Source organism: Homo sapiens, chromosome 17, assembly GCF_000001405.40.
Source record: "Homo sapiens chromosome 17, GRCh38.p14 Primary Assembly".
Classification (NCBI taxonomy): Eukaryota; Metazoa; Chordata; class Mammalia; order Primates; family Hominidae; genus Homo; species Homo sapiens.
In genome coordinates this window covers 41,248,057-41,268,230 of record NC_000017.11, presented here as the reverse complement: position 1 = coordinate 41,268,230, position 20,174 = coordinate 41,248,057, and the positions used below count along the sequence as shown (strand labels likewise).

Genomic DNA, 20,174 nt, shown 5'->3' with positions numbered 1-20,174 from the left:
TAATGTTGAAGATAAGAATACATGAATAATAATTAACCAGATCAACTCACTTCTTTCTTTACTAGCTTTATTGAGGCATAATTGATAAATAAAAATAAAATTGTGTATATTTAATGTGTACGAGGTGATGTTTTGAGATATGTATATACTTATTGTGAATTATCATATATTCCTTAGCTCACATAGTTACCATTTCCTTTTTATTTTTGTGGTGTAAACACTTCAGATCTACCTTCTTAGCAACACTCCAGATCTACCTTCTTAGCACATTTCAGGTATAAAATAAAGCATTTTTGTTAACTATAGTCACGTTGCTGTACACTAGATCTGCAGAACTGACTCATCTTGCATAACCGATGTTGGTCAAAGAGAATGTGATAGTTCTTCAGTTTCTTTACCCCATTATGCAACAACTATCACAGTCAGTGGCTTTTGTCCCTTAGCTGAGTCTTCTGAGCATTCTAGATACACCACCTCAGAAGCTGGTATCTGTCCTGGAAACCTACATTGTTAGCTCCTCAGAGGTATTTCTACCACTCCCATGCCGGTAGGAGGTCCCAAGAAGGTGGCCCAGGTCCCTAACTTTTCTAATTCTCTCAGGGCCAGTATCAATGAATCCCTCCATGACTGAATACTTCAGTTGCATCATCAGTTCAGGAACAAAAGCGCCAGTTTTCCATCTATCATGACTTCCATGAATGAGAAAGTTCTTCCACGTTTCCTCCTTCTTAAATTCTTCTGATTTCCCTGGAAACACAGGTTTTTGGTTTCTTGAGATGCTTCCTATTTGCCTCACAAAACTCAGAAGGTTGTTTTATACCTTTATGGTTTGTACAAAGTCATACATGCCCATTGCATAGTCCCTCAATCCCCAAATTTGTTTCACTTAATTTTCCTAATAACATTTTGATTTGAGGGACAATTTGACTTAATGTGGCTTAATGTATGGTCCATATTTTAGAAGGAATAACTTAAATTCTTTTTGCTTTGTCAACAGGTATTCAGGAGAAGGAAGCCATATAAGAATATTATTTACGTGATACCAGGAAAAAAATCCCCAAATGAGATCCTCTCTCATGAGGACACAATGCATTCTCAAAATTTTCTGATGCAGATTAATTGAATAAATAGCTGGTCAAAGACTGAGACAAAAAGGGATCCTCACTCAGGGCAGCTATTAAATGCCGTCCCTGTTGTCATCCCATGTAGCTATTACTCACTGAGGTGTGGAAAACTAATTTGGGAAGACCTTTGTGAACAGAAATGTCGTCTGCAAATATGAGAGATTATACCTCCCACATTAAATAAACTCAAGTGCATGTCTTGCTATTGCTGAGTCTCAATATCATTTCTACTTTACCGAGAGTTAAATGTAAGTGTTCTTGGGCAGAAAGAGAAGCTCTCACCTTGGACTAGAGTCTGTCCTTTATTAGCTACATAAAATCACACACTAAATTGTTCTCAGCTGAAAAATTGAGGTAATAATACATAATAATAACTCTGTTTTCAGAATCAAATTGGATAATACATATAGCATGCAATATGTGTGTAAATCTCATATCAGCAATTCTGTAAAATAAAACACCATATGAGATGAAGGATGGTTCAGAATTTATTCAGAAATATATAGGTAAGAATCCCTGCTACTAGGGACATAGCCCAAAGTTACAATGAAAAGAAGAAAGAAGGGTAAAAGAAACATGAGGACAAAATTGAAAACAAAAATATGATTGCAAAGATTATTGATCAGTTGCAGAAACCTAAGTTTCTTAGAAGGAGAGAATGAAGCTCTTGACTTTAGAGTCGAATGGAGACCATGTCTCCACATTGAGAACACATGAAGCTGGCACATGATCCACAAAGTGTAAGGAAAAAAGAATCAGGATGAAGTATTCTGCCCTCCCTCAAGCTGATTCCCAAGATTTTAAACAGGCAAAGAAATAAAAAAAATTGGTGAAAGCATACTGTGTATCAGTAAAGTTTGAAAGTAAATCTGTCTTCTGAAAGATAAGTGAGTTGGGTCTGGGTGTGGTAGCTCACACCTGTAATCCCAGCACTTTGGGAGGCTGAGGCAGGTGGATCACCTGAGGGCAGGAGTTCCAGACAAGTCTGATCAACATGGTGAAAACTACTAAAAATACTAAAAATACAAAAAATTAGCCAGGCGTGGTGGCACAGGCATGTAATCCCAGCTACTCAGGAGGCTGAGGCAGGAGAATCACTTGAACCCAGAAGATGGAGGTTGCAGCGAGCCGAGAGCGTGCTACTGCACTCCAGCCTGGGTGACAGTGAGGCTCCGTCTCAAAAGAAAAAAAAGGTCAGTTGAGCAGAAGGTTGTTGTGTGAGGATGATGGTCCTCTGTGGTGCTGCTCAGCAACAAGAATGCTGGCAGCAGCTGGACACACAGCAGGCTGGGCAGTAGCAGGGCTGGCAGCAGCTGGATCCACAGCTCTGGTTGAGGCAACCAGGCAGGCAGACAGTCGTGGGGTGGTAGCAGGTTCTTCTGCAGTACACAGGTGCACAGGAGCTGCTCTGGCCACAGCTGGACCCACAGCTGGTTTGGCCACAGCAGCTGGACCCACAGCAGATGGGCTGGTAGCAGGGTGTGCTGCAGCAGGAAGGCTGGCAGCAGCTGGTCACACAGGTGGGCTGGCAGCAGGTGGTCCTGCAGCAGGTGTTTTGACAGCAAGTTGGGTGGCAGTAAGGCTGGCAGCAGCTGGACACACAGCAGGAGGGCTGGCAGCAGGGTGTGCTGCTGCAGGTGGTCACAATGGTGGGCTGCCAGCAGGTAGTCCTGCAGCAAGTGGTCCTGCAGCAGGTAGGCTGACAGCCAGGGGAGCAACAGTGGGTCATGTTGTCAGGGGTGGAGGGTGGGCTTCTGTTCAGAGGTGAGTTTCCCAGGATTTGATGACCCCTTGCAATCTGGACCTTTTATACATGTGGCCTCCAAAGTTTCCACCAATCAGCAGGATTTTTCTTTCTTGCTGTTTACAGTTGTTTTCCATAGTCAGTTTGGCATTGTCAAAGAGGAAGTCATTTCCTAAATGTTATGAATCTTTGGAAAGTAAGGGTTTAATCTGTTTCTTAATTGTAAATTACTCGTAGAAACTTTGTTTCAGATAAAAGGAAGGCAGTCTCATCATCAGCTTCGTTCCTGCTCTGACCAGCATCTCGTCATGTGATAGTTCCTGGTGACTGGGGAGGCTCAGGAAGTTCTCTCTGCCCAGTCTCATCCTTTGGCTGTATGTAGACTGGGAAGTGTCTGTGGGGAGAAGCATGATGTTGATATATTCACAGTGGTGAATTGAATCCATGCTTGGGACCAAGACTGTTCACCCACCAAAGTCTGATTCAAGACTGATAGGCATCTCTCTATGTACAACCTACTTTACCTGTCTCTTCCAGTTCTATAAAAGCCTCTTGGGAAGAGGGTGTTCAGCACAATGTGTGCTATGTGGCAGAGCAGAGCCAAAGCAAACACGTAGAAAGAGGAGGGGTTCACTGGAATTCACAAAGCATCAAGCAATCTACGTGCTGCGGTGACCATTCACCCTGATTTGTCTGGGACTGAGGGGCTTACCAGCATGAGAATGTGGGACTGGGAATTACTGTGACATTACTGCTTGAGGTCCAGGCAAAGCAATATGAGCTGTGGCTCTAGCCCTAATCCAGGTTACTGGCACAATCATTGCCATTTCTCTGTCTCTGTCTCTGTCTCTGTCTCTGTCTCTGTCTCTCTCTCTCTCTCTCTCTCTGTCTCTCTGTTTTCAGTGAGGGAATTAGGTGAGTTGAGATGATATCTGATTCCTCTTTGAGGTTTACCATTGTTTAAAACTTTTTAAATTATACCATTCATTTCAGAAGAGTGCAAATTATGAATTCCAACTTGATATAATATTACATTATAAATACATCTAAGTCCCCATTACCAGTTTACAAAATAGAAATTAATTCCATTCCCTCCAAATTATATCTTTTTACTTATCTCCAAAGGTAGCTAGTCACTCTATCAAGTTTTAATCCTGTAGGTCAGTTTTGTTTTTTTCTTTGACTTTTATGTAAATAAAAATTATAGAATTTGCTTCACTGTGTTTTTGGCATAATCAAAAGCAGCAATTATAACCTGGTCATTTCATTTTGGATCCTTCATGTTAGCAGACCAGCAGGTAGATAAAGGAGTTAATATTCCATGAGGGATAATTTTCGTGAAGCCATAGAGCGTAGGGAGAATATATCTGAAACTCAAGAAATTTACTATATATATTAAAGCATTACACTGCCATTAAAAACTATGGCAAATCAAGTGGCTGAAGTTTATTTTCTCACAGTTCTGAAGGCTAAAATAAAGGTGTTGGCAATGTTGTTTTCATCTGAGGGCTGTGAGGGAAATATCTGTTTCAGGTCTCTCTCCTTGACCTGTAGATGTCTATCTTCTCCATGTGTCTCTTACATCATCTTCCCTCTATATGCATCCTGTTTGAATTTCCCCTGTTTATACAGACACCAGTCACATTGAATCAGAAGCACAATTTATTCCAATATGACCTTATCTTACCATCTTGCATTTAAGTGACCCTATTTGAATATGAGTTCTTGGGGACACAATTCGACCCATAACCTTGGAATATCTCGTAGTGTATCCATGCCCATTGATAAACACAAATGAGTAACAAAAGCAACCACAGTTGGACAATGGTGTAGTAAGTAACTAGAGGGTAAGACCCATCAGGCAGGAAGTTCTGAGCTACTTCATCAGGCAATTATCTAAACTAACAGGAGTGCTGGCCAGTGATGAAGGGAGTATAGAACTGGCGGAAACTGATGGAGATTATGAATCTCAGAAGCACCCTATTACAGCAGTAGTTTCTTTTCCCTTCCCTCCCTTCCCTTCCCTTCCCTTCCTTCCCTTCCCTTCCTTTCCCCTCCCCTCCCCACCCCTCCCCTCCCCTTTCTTTCTTTCTTTCCTTTTCCTTCCTTCCTTCCCCTTCCTTCCTTCCTTCCTTCCTTCATTCCTTCCTTCCTTTTCACTCTCTTTCCTTCTGTCTCTTGCTCTCTTTCTTCCTCCGTTCCTTTCTTCCTGTCTGTGTATATTGTCTTCTTCCCATATCTTTCCTAGTTTTTTCCTCCTCTCTCACCTTCTGTTCCTCCTCTTCCTCCTCCTCCTTTTTCTCCTAGAGTTCATGGCTGTCCATTACATTTAAGAAGGAAAGATTGGACTTGAATGGAGCAAATGTTACTGTAGACAGGTCTTCATTACCATACCTGTATATCATGGAACTTAGGGTGCTCATACCAATTTCCATCTGCCTGAATCTGCATCTCTGTGCCTTAGGGCTCTTGTATTGCAACTACAGAAAGTCATGTCACCTGTGCACACTACAGGGAGAAAAATATTCAACTGAAAATTCTAAAGAGTGGATTTATACAGACTCTAGCTTCTTCACTGCTGAAGTTTGAGAATTCAAAGTTGTGTGTTTTTCATCATTTCTGAAAAATTTCCCTTTAGCTTAAGCTTCAGTTGATCTCTGTGATACTGGCTTAATAGTATACCCTTTTCTGTATCACTGCCACAATCCCTTCTGGCCTGTTCTGCCCTTCCTAATACACTGTATTCATTGGAATCTTTTTCTCAGAGTATCTTCTGGGAAAAACCAAACTATGACATTACATCTCTCAGCCTCAATTTCCTCATCTCTACAATTAGAACACTAATGCCTACTTTGAAAGTTTTTTCAATAATTAATGATAATGTACATAAAAGATTTACACAATATCCATCAAATGATAGGCAACTGAAAACATATTATTTCTTTTCTCTCCAGAAATTCCTAAACTAATTTTAATGTTGATGATAAGAATATATTTATAATAATTAACTAGATCAACTTTTTTTCTTTTACTTTAAGTTCCAGGACACATGTGCAGAATGTGCAGGTTTGTTGAGTAGGTATACATGTGCCATGATTGTTTGCTGCACCTATCAACCTGTCCTCTAGGTCTTAAGCCCTGCATGCATTAGGTATTTGTCCTAATGCTCTCCCTCCCCTTGCCCCCGACCCCCCCAACAGGCCCTGGTGTGTGATGTTCCCCTCCCTGTGTCTGTGTGTTCTGGTTGATCAACTCCCACTTATGAGTGAGATCATGTGGTGTTTGGTTTTCTGCTCCTGTGTTACTTTGCTGAGAATGATGGCTTCCAGCTTCTTCCATGTCCCTGCAAAGGATATGAACTCATTGTTTTTTATGGCTGCATAGGATTCCATGGTTTATATGTGCCACATTTTCTTTATCCAGTCTATCACTGATGGGCATTTGGGTTGGTTCCAAGTCTTTGCTATTGTAAATACTGCTGCAATAAACATATATGTGCATGTGTTTTTATAGTAGAATCATTTATATTCCTTTGAGTATATACCCGGTAATAGGATTGCTGAGTCAAATGGTTTTTCTGGTTCTAGATCCTTGAGGAATTGCCACACTGTCTTACACAGTGGTTGAACTAATTCACTATCCCACCAACAGTGTAAAAGCATTCCTATTTCTCCACAGCCTCTCCAGCATCTATTGTTTCCTGACTTTTTAATAATCACCATTATGACTGGCATGAGATGGTATCTCAATGTGGTTTTGATTTGCATTTCTCTAATGATCAATGATGATGAGCTTTTTTTCATATGTTTGTTGGCCACATAAAAGTCTTCTTTTGAGAAGTGTCTGTTCATATCCTTTGCCCACTTTTTGATGAGGTTGTTTGTTTTTCTTGTAAACTTGTTTAAGTTCCTTGTAGATTCTGGATTTTAGACCTTTGTCAGATGGGTAGATTGCAAAAATTCTCACCCATTCTGTAGGTTGTGTGTTCTCTCTGATGATAGTTTATTTTGCTGTGCAGGAGCTATTTAGTTTAATTAGATCCCATTTGTCAATTTTGGCTTTTGTTGTGATAGTTTTTGGCATTTTTGTCATGAAGTCTTTGCCCATGTCTATGTCCTGAAAGTTATTGCCTAGGTTTTCTTCTAGGGTTTTTATGATTTTGGGTTTCACATTTAAGTCTTTAATCCATCTTGAGTTAACTTTTGTATAAGGTGTAATGAAGGGGTCCACTTTCAGTTTTCTGCATGTGGCTAGCCAGTTTTCCCAGCCCCATTTATTAAATAGGGAATCTTTTCCCCATTGCTTGTTTTTGTCAGGTTTGTCAAAGATCAGATGGTTGTAGATGTGTGGTGTTATTTCTGAGGTCTCAGTTCTGTTCCATTGGTCTATATATCTGTTTTGATACCAGTACCATGCTGTTGTGGTTACAGTTGCCTTGTAGTATAGTTTGAAGTCAGGTAGCGTGATGCCTCCAGCTTTGTTCTTTTGTTTGGGATTGTTTTGGTGATACGGGCTCTTTTTTGGTTCCATATGAAATTTAAAGTAGTTTTTTTTTAAATTTTGTGAAGAAAGTCAAGGGTAGCTTGATGGGAATAGCATTTAATCTATAAATTACTTCGGGCAGCATGGCCGTTTTCATGATATTGATTCTTTCTATCCATGATCATGTAATGATTTTCAATTTGTTTGTGTCCCCTCTTATTTCCTTGAGCAGTGGTTTGTAGTTTCCCTTGAAGAGGTCCTTCACATCCCTTGTAAGTTGTATTCCTAGGTATTTTATTCTCTTTGTTGCAATTGTGAATGGGAGTTCACTCATGATTTGGCTCTCTGCTTGTCTATTATCGGTGTATAAGAATGCTTGTGATTTTTGTCATTGATTTTGTATCTTGAGACTTTGTTAAAGTTGCTTATCAGCTTAAGGAGTTTTTAGGATGAGACACTGAGGTTTTCTAAATATAGAATCACGTCATCTGCAAACAAAGACAATTTGACTTCCTCTCTTCCTATCTGAATGCCTTTATTTCTTTCTTTTGCCTGATTGTCCTGGCCAGAACTTCCAATACTATGTTGAATAGGAGTGGTGAGAGAGGGCGTTCTTGTCTTGTGCCATTTTCAAAGGGAATGCTTCCAGCTTTTGCCCATTCAGTATAATATTGGCTATGGGTTTGTCAAAAATAGCTCTTATTATTTTGAGATATGTTCCATCAATACCTAGTTTATTGAGAGTTTTTAAGATGAAGGATGTTGAATTTTATCGAAGGCCTTTTCTGCATCTATTGAGATAATCATGTGGTTTTTATCATTGGTTCTGTTTATGTGATGGATTATGTTTATTGATTTGCATATGTTGAACCAGCCTTGCATCCCAGGGATGAAGCAATTTGATCATGGTGGATAAGCTTTTTGATGTGCTGCTAGATTTGGTTTTTACTAACTTTACTGAGGTATAATTGAATAAAAATTGTATATATTTAAGGTATAAAAAGTGATGTTTTGATATATATATTTATAGTGAGATATTCATCACAGTGAAGCTAATTCACATATTCATTAGCTCACATACTTGCCATTTCAGGTATAAAATAAAATATTTTTACCTACAGCCACACTACTGTACACTAGGTCTGCAGAGCTTATTTACCTTGCATACCTGATCTTGGCCAAAGTGAATGTTTTAGGTCTTCATCTCCTTTACCCTGTCACCCCAGAAGAATCACAGTCAATGGATTTTGTCTCTTAGCCAAGTCTCCAAAGCACTCTAGGTACACAGTCTCAGAAGTTGGGATCCGTCCTGGAAGTCTACATCGTTAGCTCATCAGAGGTATTTCTAGCACTCCCATGCTGGTAGGAGGTCCCACAAAGGTAATCCAGGTCCCAGACTTTTCTATTTCTCTCAGAGCCAGTATAAATCAGTCCTTCCATTAGTGAATGCTTGGGTTGCATCATCAGTTCAGGGCCAAAAGCACCAGCCATCTGCCTATCATGACTTCTATGAATGTACACATTTTTCTACTTTCAGTCCGTCTTACATTCTTCTGATTTCCCTGAAAACACAAATGTTTATTTCCTTTAGATGCTTAATTTTGGCCTCATAAAGCATAGAAGATTGTTTTAACCCATTAGATAACTCAGAGATTATGGATTATGCAAAGTCATATGTGCCTGTTGCATAGTGTCTCAATCCTAAACTTTGTCCTTACTTAATTTTCCTGATAACATTTTTATCAGGAAGTCAAATTGTCTAAATGTTGCATAAGGTATGGTCTGTATTTTACATGGAATTACTTAATTCCATTTTGCTCTTTCAATGAAATTTCAGCAGGAGGCCAGATATGAATTTGATTTATTTGATACGAAGGAATTAGTCTCTTCAAATGAGGATATGATGCATTCTGAAAAGTTTTTGATGTGTCCTCTTGAAAACCAGAACAAGGCAAACATGCCATATCTCACCACTCCTATTCAAAATAGTAATGAAAGTCCTAGCCAGAGAAATATGGCAAGAGAAATAAAGTAAAGGTATCTAGATAGGAAAAGTGGAAGTTAAACTATCTCTGTGTGTGAAGAAGATTTTACACCCAGAAAACCTCATTGTCTCTACCCAAAAACTCCTTGATCTGATTAGCAACTTCAGCAAAGTTTCAGGATACAAAATTATTGTACAAAAATCAGTAGCATTCCTATACACCAACAACATCCAAGTTGAGAGCCAAATCAATAATGTAATCCTTTTCACAATAGCCACAAAAAACAACAAAATACCTAGGAATACAGCCAACCAGGGAGGTGAAAGATCTCTGCAACAAGAATTGCAAAACACTGCTCAAAGAAATTAAAGATGACACAAACAAATTGAAACATATTTTATGCTCATGGGTAGAAAGAATCAATATTGTTAAAATGGCCATACTCCCTAAAGCAATTTACAGATTCAGTATCACTCCTATCAAACTACCAATGACAGCCTTCACAGAATGAGAAAAAAAATGTTTTACAATTCATATGGAACCAAAAAAGAGCCTGAATGGCCAAGGCAATCCTAAGCAAAAATAACAAAGCTGAAGACATCACATTATCTGACTTCAAACTACATTACAGGCTGCAATAACCAAAACCGCATGGTACTGGTACAAAAACAGACACACAGACCAATGGAACAGAATACAGAGCCCAGAAATAATGTTGCACACCTACAACATGTGATCTTCAGCAAAGTTGATGAAAATAGGCAGTGGGGAAAAGACTCCTGATTTAATAAATGGTGCTGAGATAACTGGCTAGTCATTTGCAGAAGATTGAAACTGGACCCCTTCCTTACATGGTATACAAAAATCAACTCAAGATGGATCAAAAACTTACATGTAAAACCTAAGGCTATAAAAACGCTGGCAGACAACCTAGGCAATACCATTCTAAACATAGGACCAGGCAAGGATTTTATGATGAAGTCACCAAAAGTAATTGTAAAAAGAGAAAAAATTGACAAATGGGACCTAATTAAACTTAAGAGCTTCTGCACAGCAAAAGAAACTATCAACAGAGTAAACAGACAACCTACAGAATGGGAGAGAATATTTGCAAGCTATCTATCCAACAAAGGTCTAATATCCAGAATCTGTAAGGAAGTTAAACAAATTTACAAGCAAAAACCAAACAATCTCATTAGAAAGTGGTCAAAGGACACGAACAGACACTTTTCAAAAGAAGACATTCAAGCGGCCAAAAAGGATATGAACAAATGATCAACATCACTGATGATTAGAGAAATGCAAGTTAAAACCACAATGAGATGCCCTCTGACACAAGTCAGAATAGCTCTTATTAAAGTCAAAAAATAAAAGATGCTGGCAAGTTTTTGTAGAAAAAGAAACACTTATACACTGTTGGTGGAATTGCACATTAGTTTAACCATTATGGAAAGCAGTTTTGGGATCTCTCAAAGAACTTAGAATTAATATTTGACCCAGCAATTCAATTATTGGGTATATACCCAAATGCATATAAATTGTTCTACCATAAAGACACATGCATGCGTATGTTCATTGCAGCACTACTCACAATAGCAAAGACATAGAGTCAACTTAAAATGTACATCAAAAGTAGACTGGATAAAGAAAATGTGTTTCATATACACCATGGAATACTATACAGAAAAAAAAGGAAAAAAAGAACAAGATGATGTCCTTTGCAGCAACACAGATGGAGCCGGAGGCCATTATCCCAAGGGAACTAACACAGGAACAGAAAACCAAATAACACATGTTCTCACATAAGAGTGGGGGCCAAACATTGAATACATATGAACACAAAGAAGGGAACAACAGACACTGGAACTTACCTGTGGGTGGACTGTGGGAGGAGAATGAGAATCAAAAAACTGCCTATCAGGTATTATGCTTATTACCTGGGTGAAGAACTAATCTGTACACCAAACCCTGCAACACACAATTTAACTATAAAATAACCCGGCACACGTACCCCTGAACCTTAAAAAAAGGTTAAAAAATTTCTTTGATGCACGTGAATTGAATGATTGGCTGGTATAGGCCAATAGGATCCCTGCATTCATGACAGCTGCTAAATGCAGACCCTGCTGCTGTATCATGTAGCTGTTGCTCACTGACGGCTGGGCAATTAATTTGGGAAGACTTTTGTGAACTGAAATGTTATCTCTTGCCAAATACTAGAGATTATTATTTCCATTGTTAAATAAACTCAAGTGCATAACTTGCTAGTGCTGAATCCCAATGTCATTACTACTTTATTGAGAGTTAAATGTAAGTGTCTTTGGACAGAAAGAGAAGACGCAACCTTGCATCAGAGTCTGTCCACTATTAGCTACATAACATCACACATTAAAACTTTCCCAGTTGGAAAATGGAGGCAATAATACATGACTGTCTGTTTTGAGAATCAAATTGGGTAATACATATGGTATGTGATATATGTGTAAATCCCATATCAGGAATGTTTTCAAATAAAACAAATCACCATATGGTATGAATAATAGTTCCAAATTTATTTATTAAGAAATATATAGGTAAGATCCCTGGTTATAGGGAGATAACCCAAAGTGATCATTAAAAGAAGGAAGCAGGATACAAGAATCATGAGTATATTGAAAAGAAAACATAGTTGTGAAGATTCTTAATCATTTGCAGCAACTTAAGTTTCTTAAGTGAAGAGAATGAAGCTCTTGACTTTTGAGTCAAAGCTGAGACCATGACTCAAAATTGAGAACACATGAAGCTGGCACATGATTCACAAGGTATAAGAAAAAGAGAATCAGGATGAAGTATTCTGCCCTCCCTCAAGCTGATTCACAAGATTTTAAATATGCAGAGAATTCATAAAAATTTGGGTGAGAACATGGTTGCTGTCAGCAGTAAGGTAAATTAGTCCTCCAAAAGATAAGTCAGTTGAGCAGAAGGTTGTTGTGTGAAGATGGTTGTTCTCTTGGGACTTGATCAGCAGCAAGAAGGCTGGCAGCAGCTGGACACACAGGTGGGCTGGAAGCAAGTGGTCCTGCAGCAGGTGGTCTCACAGCAGGCGGGGCGGCAGCAGGGCTGGCAGCAGCTGGATCCACAGCTCTGGTTGAGGCAACCAGGCAGGCAGACAGTCGTCGGGTAGTAGCAGGTTCTTCTGCAGTACACAGGTGCACAGGAGCTGCTCTGGCCACAGCTGGACCCACAGCTGGTTTGGCCACAGCAGCTGGACCCACAGCAGATGGGCTGGCAGCAGGTTGTGCTGCAGCAGGAAGGCTGGCAGCAGCTGGTCAGACAGGTGGGCTGGCAGCAGGTGGTCCTGCAGCAGGTGTTTTGACAGCAAGCTGGGCGGCAGCAAGGCTGGCAGCAGCTAGACACACAGCAGGAGGGCTGGCAGCAGGGTGTGCTGCTGCAGGTGGTCACAGTGGTGGGCTTCCAGCAGGTGGTCCTGCAGCAGGTAGGCTGACAGCAAGGGGAGCAACAGTGGGTCATGGTGTCAGGGGTGGAGGGTGGGTTTCTGTTCAGAGGTGAGTTTCCCAGAATCTGATGACCCCTTGCAATCTGGACCTTTTATACACCTGGCTTCCAAAGTTTCCACCAATCAGCAGGACTTTTCCTTGTTTCTGTTTACACTGTTTTCCACAGTCCCTTTGGGATTGTCAAAGGGGAAATTGTTTCTGAAAACTTATGAATCTTTTGAAAGTAAGGGTTTAATCTGTTTCTTAATTGTGAATTACTCATAGAAACTTCCTTTCAGATAAAAGGAAGCCCATCTCATCATCAGCATCATTCCTGCTCTGACCATCATCTAGTCATGTGATAGTTCTTGGTGATCTGGGAAGCTCAGGAAATTCTCTCTGCCCAGCCTCACAGTTGGCTGTATGTAGACTGGGAAGTGTCTGTGGGGAGAAGCATGATGCTGATATATTTACGGTGACAAAATGAATCCATGCCTGGGCCCAAGACAATTCACCCACCAAATTCTGACTCAAGACTAACAGGCATCTCTGTGCAATCCTCACCACCTGTGTCTTTCAGTTATTTGAACGTCACTTGGGAAGAGGGTGTCTGTCACAGTGTGTTCCATGTGGCAGAGCCGATCGAGAGCAGGTGGATGCAGAGAAATCCACTGGGATTTAGACAGCATCAAGCAATCTACGCCCAGGGGTGAGCATTCATTCTCACTTGTCTGCGAGTGTGGGGATTACCGGGATGAGAATGTAGAACTTTCTATGACATAACTGCTTGAGATTCAGGCCAACGTGCATAAGCTGTGGCTCTAGCCATAACCCTGGTTACTAGCACAGTCAGTATCATTTCTTCTCTTTCTTTCTTAGACGGAGTCTTTCTCTGTCGCCTAGACTGGAGTGCAGTGGCGTGATCTCGGCTCACTGCAACGTCTGATTCCTCGATTCAGGGGATTCACCTGCCTCAGCCTCCCGAGTAGCTGCCACTACAGATGCCGGCCACCATGCCCGGCTAATTTTTGTATTTTTAGTAGAGAGAGGGTTTCACCATATTTGTCAGGCTGGTCTCGAACTCCTGACCTTGTGAGCTGCCTGCCTCGGCCTCCCAAAGTGCTGATATTACAGGCATGAGCCACCATCCACAGCCTCTCCTTCTATTTAATGAATTAATTAGATGAGTTGAGATGACACCTGATTCATCGTGGAGTTCTAACATGTTTAAAACATTTTCTAGGAATTACCATTCATTTCAGAGGAATGCAAATTATTAATTTCCAACTTGATACATTATTATATTGTAAATACATCTATGTCCCCATTACATCTATGTTAGAAAATAGAAATTAATCCCATTCTCTCCCAATTATATCCTCTTACTCATTCCCAAAGACAGCTAATCACTCTGTCAAGTTGTAATCCTATAGCTAACTTTTGGCTTTAAAAAATATTCATGTAAATAAAAATTACAGTATTTGCTTCTCTATTTCTTTAGCATAATCAAAAGTAATCGTTATTGCATAGTCACTTTGGACTCTTCATGTCAGGAGAGCAGCAGACAGAGAAAGGAGTTACTATTTGGTGAGGGGTAATTATCCTCAAGCCACATAGTGTAGGAGAATGTATCTATAGCTCAGGTGATTTACTGAGTATATTAACTTACTAGCAGTGCCATGGTAAATTACTGCAAACCAAGTGGCTTAAATTTATTTTTTCACAGTTCCAAAGGCCTCTAGTCTGGAATTAAGCTGTTGGCAATGTTGTTTTCATCTGAAGCCTGCGAGGGAAGTATCTGTTCCAGGTCTCTCTCCTTGACTTGTAGATGTCTATCATTTCCATGTGTGTTTGACATAAGTTTTCTACTATATGCATACTGTCTCTGAATTTCCCCCTTGTGTATAGATATCAGTCATATTTAATCAGAAGCCTAATTGTTTCCAATATGACCTTTTCTTATCACATAACATTTTAAATGATTCTATTTGAACATGAATTTTGGAGGACACAAATTAACCCATAACACTGCAGAATCTCATAGTGTGTCCATGCCCAGTGATAACCACAAAACAGTAAAAACAGTAATCACAGCGGACAGTGGTATAGTAACCAGGGGCTCAGACCCTTCAGGAAGGATGCTCTGAGCTACTCCCTCAGGCAGTTATCTAGACAAACAAGAGTGCTGGCCAGGGGTGAAGGGAGAATAGGACTGGTGGTAATTAATGGAGCTTATGAATCTCAGGTGCACTGTATTATAGCAGCAGTAAGTGTAGCTTATTTCATTGGCCTTCATTTTATATCTCACTTCCTCCCCCAGCTTTTCGTTTCCTTCTTCATTTTTCTTTCTTTCTTTTTCTTCAATCACCCCTTCTCCTTCCTTCCTTCATGTTTTTTTTTGGTTCCTTTATCCCTTCCCTTCCCTTTCCTTTTCCTTCCTTTCTTCCTCCCTTCTCTTTTTCTTTTTTGTTTCTTTTCTCTTTCCTCCTCTCATCTTCTGTTCCTTCTCTTCCTCTCCTCTGCTTCTTCCTTCTTTTAGAGCTTGTGGCTCTCCATCACATTTAAACAGCAAAGATTTGACTTGAGTGGAGCTAATTGTAGATCTCAGACAAGTTTTCGTAAGTGCGCCCATATATCTTGCATGTTAGTGTGCTTGGATTAATTTCCATCTGTCAGAGTCCGCATCTCTGTGGCCAAGGGCTCTTGTATTGCAGCTGTAGAAAGTCATGCCACCTGTGAATGCAACACAGAGAAAAACACTCAACCAATGATTCTGGAGAGCTGATTTATAAAGACTCTAGCTTCCTCATTCCTGAAGTAGGATAATTCTAGCTGTGTGTTTTTCATCATTTCTGATAGTTTTCCCTTTAGTTTAAGCTTTAGTTGGTGACTGTGATACTGACTTTATAGTGTACCCTTTTCTGTATCACTTCCCCAATTCCTACCGGTGTGATCTGCACTTCCCAGTAAACTAGTTTCACTGGAATCTTTTCTTCAAAGTCTTTTCGGGAGAAACTAATCTATGACATTATGTTAACTCCCTCAGCCTCAATTTTCTTATCTCTACGCTGGGAATATTAATACCTATTCTGAAAGTTTGTTAAAGAGTTAATAATAATGTACACAAAGTGTTTAGCAAATACCCATCCTATAGCAGGCAATCCAGAACATATTAGTGTTTCTTGTTCAGAAAATTACCAATTTTAATGTTGAAGATAGGAATATTTTTGTAATAATTAACTAGATCAACTAAATACTTTTTTTCCTAGCTGTATTGAGGTATAATTGACAAATAAAAGTTGTATCTATTTCAGGTATACAAGGTGATGTTCTGATATATATATTCCTTGTGAATAATATGTTTATTAGGTCACGAAGCTACCATTTCCTTTTAATTTTTGTGGTGTGAACATTTAAGATCTACCTTCTTGGTAAATTTCAGGTATATGATAAAGTGTTATTAACTATAGTCACATTACTGTACAGTAGACATGCTGAACTTATTCATCTTTCATAAATGATGCTAGTCAAAGAGAATGTCCTAGTTTTCATCTCCTTTACTTCAACCCTGAACGATGATCACAGTAAGTGGCCGTTGTCTCTTAGCCAAGTCTTCAGAGCATTCTAGATTCACAGTCTCAGAAGTTGGCATCTGTCATGGAAATCTACATTTTTAGCTGATCAGAGGTAATTCTAGCACTCCAGTGCTGGTAGGAGGTCCGAAGAAGGTGACCCAGGTCCCCAACTTTTATATTTCTCTCAGAGCCTGTATCAATCAATCTTTCCATGGGTGAATGCTTAGCTTACATCGGTTCAGGACCCAAAGCACTAACCTCTGTCTATTATGACTTCTATGAATGCACAAGTTCTACTTTGCTCCTTTCTTACATTCTTCTGATTTCCCTGGAAACACAAGTTTTTCATTTCTTTGAATGCTTCCTATTGGCCTCACAAAATGCAGAAGGCTGTTTCATTCCCTTACTTGGCTCAGAGATTATGGATTGTGCCAAGTCTTACATGCCCATTGTGTAGTTTCTCAATTCTCAGCTTTGTTCTTACATAATTTCCCTCATAACATTACAATTAGGGGACAAATTGTCTTAATGTGGCAAAATGTATGGTCTGCATTTTACAAGAAATAACTTAGTTTCATTTACTTCATCAATAGGTATTCAGGAGATGAAGGCTGTATAAGTATTTTATTTACATGATATTGACAACAAGTTTCTTCAGATGAGACTCTCTCTCATGAGTCCACAATAAATTCCCAAGCTTTTTTTGATGTAGATGAATTGAATGAGTGGCTGGTCAGAGGCTGAGACAAAAAGAGCTCCCTGCATTCAGGGCAGCCATTAAATGCAGTCCCTGCTGCCATATCACGCAGCTGTTTCTCACTGAGGTGTGGGAAATTGGGAATTTTTTGTAAACAAAAACGTTATCTGCAAATATAAGAGATTATTTGTCCTATTGTTAAAAAAACTCAAGTATATGACTTGCTAATACTTACTTCCAATGTCATTTCTACTATATTGAGAGTTAAATGTAAGTGTCCTTGGGCAGAAAGAGAGGACCTCAGCTTGGACAAGAGTCTGCCCTTTACTAGCTACATAACATCACACATTAAATTGTTCTCAGCTGAAAAAATGGAGGTAATAACACACGACCATCTGTTTTGAGAATCAAATTGGATAATACCTATGGTATGTGATATGTGTGTAAATCTCATATCAGGAATGCTTTCATATAAAACAAAACACCATATGAGATGAGGATGGTTCAGAGTTTATTCAGAAACATATAGCTAAGAATCTCTGCTGGTAGCAGAAACATAACCCAAAGTTATGAAAAGAAGAAAGAAGGATACAAGAACCATGAGGAGGATATTGAAAACAAAAATATGATTGCAAAGATTATTGATCAGTTGCAGAAACCTAAATTCCTTAGAAGCAGAGAATGAAGCTCTTGACTTTTGAGTCAAAGCTGAGACCATGACTCAAAATTGAGAACACACGAAGCTGGCACATGATCCACAAAGTGTAAGGAAAAAGAGAATCAGGATGAAGTATTCTGCCCTCCCTCAAGTAGATTCCCAAGATTTTAAACAGGTAGAGAATTCATAAAAATTTGGGTGAGAGCATGGTGGCTGTCAGCAGCAAATTAAATTAGTCCCCCAAAAGATAAGTCAGTTGAGCAGAAAGTTGTTGTGTGAGGATGGTGGTTCTCTTGGGACTTGATCAGCAGCAAAAAGGCTGACAGCAGCTGGACACACAGGTGGGCTGGAAGCAAGTGGTCTCACAGCAGGCTGGGCGGCAGCAGGGCTGGCAGCAGTTGGAGCCACAGCTCTGGTTTAGGCAACCAGGCAGGCAGACAGTTGTGGGGTAGTAGCAGGTTCTTCTGCAGTACACAGGTGCACAGGAGCTGCTCTGGTCACAGCTGGACCCACAGCAGGTGGGCTGGCAGCAGGGTGTGCTGCAGCAGGAAGGCTGGCAGCAGCTGGTCACACAGGTGGGCTGGCAGCAGGTGTTTTGACAGCAAGTTGGGCGGCAGCAAGGCTGGCAGCAGCTGGAAACACAGCAGGAGGGCTGGCAGCAGGGTGTGCTGCTGCAGGTGGTCACAGTGGTGGGCTTCCAGCAGGTGGTCCTGCAGCAGGTGGTCCTGCAGCATGTAGGCTGACAGCAAGGGGAGCAACAGTGGGTCATGGTGTCAGGGGTAGAGGGTGGGCTTCTGTTCAGAGGTGAGTTTCCCAGAATCTGATGACCCCTTGCAATCTGGACCTTTTATACACCTGGCCTCCAAAGTTTCCACCAATCAGCAGGACTTTTCCTTGTTTCCGTTTACATTGTTTTCCCAGTCCGTTTGTGATTCTCAAAGGGTAGTTGTTTCCTTAAGGTTAAACAGATTAAGGTTTAATCTGTTTCTTAATTGTGAATTACTCATAGACACTTTGTTTCAGATAAAAGGAAGGCAATCTCATCATCAGCATCATTCCTGTTCTGACCATCATCTGGTCATGTGATAGTTCCTGTTGATCTGGGAGGCTCAGGAAGTTCTCTCTGGCCAGCCTCATGTTTGGCTGTATGTAGACTGGGAAGTGTCTGTGGGGAGAAGCATGATGCTGATATATTTACAGTGACAAAATGAATCCATGCCTGGGCCCAAGACTAGTCACCCACCAAATTCTGACTCAAGACTAGCAGGCATCTCTCTGTGCAACCCACACCACCTGTCTTTCAGTTCTTTGAACATCACTTGGGAAGAGGGTGTTTGTCACAGTGTGTTCCATGTGGCAGAGCAGATCGAGAGCAGGTGGATGCAGATAAATCCACTGGGATTTAGACAGCATCAAGTAATCTATGCCCTGAGTGACCATTCATTCTGACTTGTCTGTGAGCGTGGCGATTCCAGAATGAGAATGTAGGACTCTCTATGGCATAAATGCTTGAGATTCAGGCCAACCAGCATGTGCTGTGGCTCTAGTCGCAACCCGGTTACTAGCACAGTAAGCAGCATGTCTTCTCTCTCTCTCTCTATTTCTTTTTAATGAAGGAATTAGATGAGTTGAGATGATGCCTGATTCATCATGGAGTTCTAACATGTTTAAAACATTTTCTAGGTATACCATTCATTTGAGAAGAATGCAAATTATTAATTTTCAACTTGATATAGTATTATATTGTAAATACATCTGTGTCCCCATTACATCTATGTTAGGAAATAGAAATTAATTCCATTCTCTCCCAATTATATGCTCTTACTCATTCCCAAAGACAGCTAATCACTCTATCAGTTGTAATCCTGTAGGTAATTTTTGGTTTTTTAAAGTTTTCATGTGAATAAAAAGTATAGTATTTGCTTCTCTATTTCTTTGGCATAAACAAAAGTAATCTTTATCGCCTAGTCATTTTGGACTCTTCATATAAGCAAAGCAGCAGACAGAGAAAGTAGTTACTATTTGGTGAGGGATAATTACCCTCAAGCCATATAGTGTAGCAGAATATATCTATAGCTCAGGAGATTTACTGAGTATATTAATTTACTAGCACTGCCCTGATGAATTACTGAAAAAAAGTGGCTTAAATTTATTTATCAAAGTTCTGAAGGCCTCTTTTCTGAAATTAAGGTGTTGGCAATGTTGTTTTCATCTGAAGACTGCGAGGGAAGTATCTGTTCCACGTCTCTCTCCCTGACGTGTCAAAGTCTATCATCTCCAAGTGTGTTTGACATAATTTTTCTATTATATCCATACTGTCTCTGAATTTCTCCCTTGTGAATAGACACAGTCATATTTAATCAGAGGCCTAATTGTTTCCAATATGACCTTGTCTTATCAGATAACACTTTAGATGATTCTATTTGAATATGA

At 40.1% G+C, this 20,174-nt stretch overlaps 3 protein-coding genes across 3 annotated transcripts, besides 1 other annotated feature; all 3 read right to left on the bottom strand.

The window, feature by feature from the left end:
* Positions 1–2,370: 2,370 nt before the first annotated feature.
* On the bottom strand, positions 2,371–2,853 carry KRTAP9-6 (keratin associated protein 9-6). The gene has a single exon (NM_001277331.1). It carries the CDS (start codon positions 2,851–2,853, stop codon positions 2,371–2,373), a length of 483 nt encoding a protein of 160 aa, NP_001264260.1.
* A 9,013-nt stretch (positions 2,854–11,866) lies between these two features.
* On the bottom strand, positions 11,867–12,847 carry KRTAP9-9 (keratin associated protein 9-9). The gene has a single exon (NM_030975.2). The coding sequence runs from the start codon at positions 12,843–12,845 to the stop codon at positions 12,336–12,338; it is 510 nt and encodes a 169-aa protein (NP_112237.2). The 5' UTR covers positions 12,846–12,847; the 3' UTR covers positions 11,867–12,335.
* Positions 12,848–17,577: 4,730 nt separating this feature from the next.
* On the bottom strand, positions 17,578–18,544 carry KRTAP9-4 (keratin associated protein 9-4). Its single transcript, NM_033191.3, has one exon. It carries the CDS (start codon positions 18,508–18,510, stop codon positions 18,046–18,048), a length of 465 nt encoding a protein of 154 aa, NP_149461.2. The 5' UTR covers positions 18,511–18,544; the 3' UTR covers positions 17,578–18,045.
* Positions 18,263–18,817: an enhancer, noted in NCBI's record as "H3K27ac-H3K4me1 hESC enhancer chr17:39405666-39406220 (GRCh37/hg19 assembly coordinates)". NCBI's record gives its function as "activates a minimal SCP1, AML or CMV promoter by ChIP-STARR-seq in naive H9 embryonic stem cells {active_cell/tissue: H9 hESC(naive)}" and the evidence as "EXISTENCE:reporter gene assay evidence [ECO:0000049][PMID:30033119]".